At 42.3% G+C, this 5,044-nt stretch overlaps 1 annotated feature.

Moving 5' to 3' along the window:
• Nucleotides 2,945–3,024: an enhancer, noted in NCBI's record as "active region_22928". NCBI's record gives its function as "activates an Ori minimal core promoter by ATAC-STARR-seq in GM12878 lymphoblastoid cells {active_cell/tissue: GM12878}" and the evidence as "EXISTENCE:reporter gene assay evidence [ECO:0000049][PMID:35858748]".

Below are 5,044 nucleotides of genomic sequence, written 5' to 3'. Positions count from 1 at the left end.
TCTTACATAGGTATACACATGCCATGGTGGTTTGCTGCACCTATCAAAAAAACTTTTAATTATATAAATGCACAAGCTGCATAAAATTATTTACTTACTATAAAAACCTCCAGAAATGTAAAAGGTCCTTATAAGCACTTGTCCATACTTTATTAGCTTCAAAATATTGAACACCTGTTTAAAGTTATAATTGTAGAAACTGTCTTATTTTAAGGTATATAACAAATAAAGCTCAGAAACACAATGGCGTTGTTATAACGTGTCACCTGACATTGTCAACAGTGGATTAATTAATAGGCGTGGTTTCTACAGGATCATTAGATAGATTTTGTATTCATTTTGATCAGATGTTCATCTCTACACAAAGTTCGAGGGGAGTGCAAATATGTCATGGGAGTATGCTACCATGCTGTACCTCCACCCCAGCCAGCCCCTACCCACTCCACCAACAGCCCTATATTTGTCGATGTGTGAACTTGCTTGAGCCGGGTGGACTAGAAAATACCTAAAGGGAGTTTATTAAGAAGAGAAATGATATGTTTCAGTTCTTGGTAGCAGTCTAGATGCTGGTGAATGTTAGGCCACCACCGTCCATATCGTGAACTCTCTGAGAGACAACTCTGGCATGGCAAATGACGTGTGATCATGTGCATTGACTCATGCAAATATAAGAAAATCATTGACAGCTCAAGACCCTACTTTCAGAAGATTGCATGGGAACTGCTAACAGGACCTTCCGAGTACCCTGCCAGCTCACACCTGTTAATTATGTACACCTGCCCAGGGCCAGCTGCCCATGTAGAAGGTTCAGAGGCAGGTCAAAACTCCACCTCTTTCGGCTTCTTCCGGCTGCTGAGTAGCAGGAACTAGCCTAATTAATCCTGATGCTTCCTAAGCATTTAGATTAGAGAAGTAAAAGGTATCAGGAAGTCAAAAGATTTCTTTGGAGTTTTTTGTTGTTGTTGTTGTTTTAACTTTAAGGTCCTACATAAACTGATGTTGAATTTATAGAAAATTTTGCTTTGGAGATTGAGATGAAAAGAGTCTGATTTCTGAGGTCTAATTATGACTAATCAAACCGCCACAGGCACTAGATCAGAGGAATGCATACCTCGTCAGCATGAAAGCAGCAGGTAGAAACAGCTGCTCTGTGCAAATTTATCTGGACTGATCACAGCAGAAGAAAAGGAACTAGGTTTATGTCAGGACCTGGGCCAGAGACCAGAGTGACTTTTTTTCTAGGAAATGGCAACAGTGCCAGCAATCTTTTAGCACAAGGTATAAGAAAAACTAGTCATGCTCTACCTGAAATAATTTTTTTAATTCATAATATTATTTATTCTGTTACTGGAAAAATAGACATATTCTTTCTTTCTTCACTAGCTGTAATTTATAGCAGGCAGGAAGAGAGTGCTGGATTCCTAAGGGTTCTCTAAGGAAGTCAACTGCAATTCCCCACTTTTGTGCCCATAAAACAGCATAACATTAAACAGTGGACAATACAGGGACTTTCAAGATCATGGTTCACAAACTCCCAACTTGATCACACATCTCATTCTATATGTTTGCCTGGAAGTCCACCTCTTAGACTATACAGTCTTTTCTTGAGCCATTTTTAAAGTGAAATTTTAACTGTACCTATGTGGAATTTTTCTGGATTTCTTCCCATCTACTCAGTATCAATATCTACTCCATATCCATCTACTCAATATCTACTCAGATCCCTGCCTTGGAAATTGGAAAATGGAAGATGGGAGTGGAAAACAATATCAATTCTTAGTTTTTGGAAGTGAACCAATTTGCTCAAATATTCATTCTTCCAGAATCAGTCTTGGAAATAACCACTAGCTACTCTATCAGATAGTTTGTGCTGCAAGATAAACTACCCTAAAACTTGTGGCTTAAAACATCCACTATTTATGTAGCTAGCAATTTTGCAGATCAGCAATTTCGACTGAGCCTAACTGGGCAGTTCTGGTCTTGACTAGGCTCAATTATGGGTCTGCCGGGTTGACTGGGACCCATAGGGTGGCCTCTTGGTCAACTTGTTGTTTCTTCATGTGGTCTCCTCACCTTCCAGCAGGCTAGCCCAGGCTTTTCCACACTGGGGCTGGCTGGGACACTAGAGAGAGAGCAGAAGTGTTCAAGACCTCCACAAGTCTTACCTTGGAACTAGCACAATATTATTTCCACCACATTCTATTGGTCAAGTCACAAAGCCAGCCCAGATTCAGGGCCAGCCTACCGCTTGATGGAAAGAGTTGCAGGGTCACATTACTAGGGGCACAGATGCAGGGAGTTATTACACTGTAGTCATCTTTGCAATCTACCACACATGTAATGGAGGAAAAGGGGATCCAAATAATTTTATCACAGGTGAATTTTCCATAGAAGAAAAATGAGCTGATAAATAAATTATATGGATTTGTACCTTTAAAATAGTAATAAGCAGTCATTCTTGCTAATATTAATGCCATGAAAACAAAAACTACAGGGGCAAATTCTCAGCTTAGTTTTAGTCTGGCTTCCCAGATTTTATACATGATAAATGGAAGACCTTTCCCCTTAATATAACTTTCATTTTCAATAGTTTGTATAGATTCTTATTGCAGGCTGGGTTTTCTGGGAAGTAGACTCTGAGGTGGAGTCGAGTGTAAAAAGTGTTTATTAGGGATTGTCTCTGGGATCAACACCTGTGGAGAAGTGAAGAAGGAGCAGAGGGAGGAGTTGAATGATCAGGCAGGTCCACAGCCTCAGTGGACCCTGTGGGAGCTCTGGATCTAAATGCCCTGTCAGAGTTGTCCCAGGTTAGGCCACTGTGGCTGGGCCTTTATAACCAACCCTTCCTCTGTCAGTCACTGGATGTGGGCGTCTTCTGGAAAGGACATAATCTTAGGCAAGGTGGCTTTCTGCATCTAAGGCATTTCCTGAAGGTGCCCACAGATGCTGTCTGCTAACAGCAAATTCTGGGGCTGAAGGCCCTTCCTTCCAGATCCATCACAATGCTAGTAGAATTATGATAAGAGTCTAGCTACATACAACTAATTTCATCTGCAGGAGAAGCTACATGACGCATCATGTGATGATATTTATTGACTCTGTTGTTTTCCTCAGAGGGTTTCAAATAGCTTCAAGAAGTGTAGCTGACTCATAGTGCTGTTACTTTCATTTTACTGCTGGGGCTGAGCAATAAGTAGTAGGCTAACTGAGGAATTTATCAGCCATCCATGCAAGTAACTTTCATGCATATTTCAGGCTTCCTCTTCTCCCTCTGAAAAGAGCATTAATTTCTGCCATCCTACCCTCTGGCCAACAATTTCTGACTTGGTGGATAGGGATGTGGCTCTTTCTCCCTCTTCTGTCTGGATCACAAATTACCTTCATCGTCATGAGTGAGTGAATTTGTGCTAAGGGAGGACGGGGGACCACAGATTATCCCAACTCTAAGGTAGTCATACATATAAAATGCTAAGCTTGGCAAATAAATCTATTGGAACTGATTGTGTACAATAGTATTACTTTTTTCTTTTTGTGAAGAAATGAAGCACGCTCCCTTGGTGAATTTAGAATAGGATTTGATTTTCAAAAACTGATTTACATACAACCTTTCAATCATCTTCTGTACATGTGGCTGGATTAAGAAAGCTTTAGTTGTACTTCCGGTCTGATTATGGGATTGCCCTTGTAAGGGCCTTTAAGTAGTCTTTGCTAAAGTTTGACCAGCCATAATGAGAGGCATAATTGTTTAGTGGTTAAGAGGCCAGGTTCTGGAGTCAGACAGACTTAGATTGCAATCCTCTCTCTGACGCTTTCTAGATGTGTGTTATTGGACAGATCAGTCAATCGCCTAAAGCCTCAGTTTCCTCCTCTATACAATGGGCATCATAATAGCTGCTCCCTCCTAAAAAGATTCAGTGAGGTGATGCCCACAAAGAGCCTGGAACGGTAGCTTACGCCTGTAATCCCATCACTTTGGGAGGCCGAGGTGGGCGGATCACGAGGTCAGGAGATCGAGACCACGGTGAAACCCCGTCTCTACTAAAAACACAAAAAATTAGCTGGGGGCGGTGGCGGGCGCCTGTAGTCCCAGCTACTCGGAGAGGCTGAGGTAGGAGAATGGCGTGAACCCGGGAGGCGGAGCTTGCATTGCAGTGAGCCGAGATCTTGCCACTGCAATCCAGCCTGGGCGACAGAGCGAGACTCTGTCTCAGAAAAAAAAAAAAAAGAGCCTGGAACAGGCCCCGGCACTATCAATCTTAGTTCCTTTTCTTTAGGATGAAGATGACAATGACGGTGAGACATTTGGTCTTTGCCTTCTGCTACATCCCCACAAACACTCCTCTTTATGGTCATCTTAATCTGGTGTTTCTTAATTTGTCTGATGCAGGAGATCTGAAGCAATAGGTAGCAGGTAGAGGTAAAAGAATATAGAGCAGACAAATGTATATTTGAAAATATATATTGAATAGATTCAGCTTTCAAAATAGCAAGATAGCATAGCATGGCTAAATTCTAGGAGAGTTACATTTTAAAAAATAGCTATGACTGTTTCAGTGCTACCTGAAAGCAGACACCTAAGGGAACATAGGGAGGGGTGTGGGGGTGCAGTGCCAGCCACCATGGGAGTGAATTTCTTGGGTTCAGGAACGGGGTCAGGGAGTCAGCAAGAGAACCAAAAGTCCAAAGTTTGTGGGCCTGTGGGAGGGACACAAAACCACAGGCTTCTTACGCCAGATCCACTGGTGGCTGCCAGTAGTGACAGATTGAGAGGGCTGACAATACACAAGGCAATTTGAGAAGGTTTCTAAATATAAGGACTTTTGACGTCATCCATGTAACCTCAGCTGTTCTATAATAAGGCTTAACCTTTGTCCACTCTGGCACAAGACTTCATATGTCACAACAGTTTGTCACAGAGAGGGACAATGCTAGATTTACAAACTATGAAGATATTTCAGGCTGGGCCTGGTGGCTCACGCTTGTAATCCCAGCACTTTGGGAGGCCGAGGTGGGTAGATCACCTGAGGTCAGGAGTTCAAGGCCA

The sequence above is a fragment of the Homo sapiens genome, chromosome 5, assembly GCF_000001405.40.
Source record: "Homo sapiens chromosome 5, GRCh38.p14 Primary Assembly".
NCBI classification, from domain to species: domain Eukaryota; kingdom Metazoa; phylum Chordata; class Mammalia; order Primates; family Hominidae; genus Homo; species Homo sapiens.
Note: the sequence above shows the minus strand (reverse complement) of the source record. Positions and strands in the feature narration are given on the sequence as shown.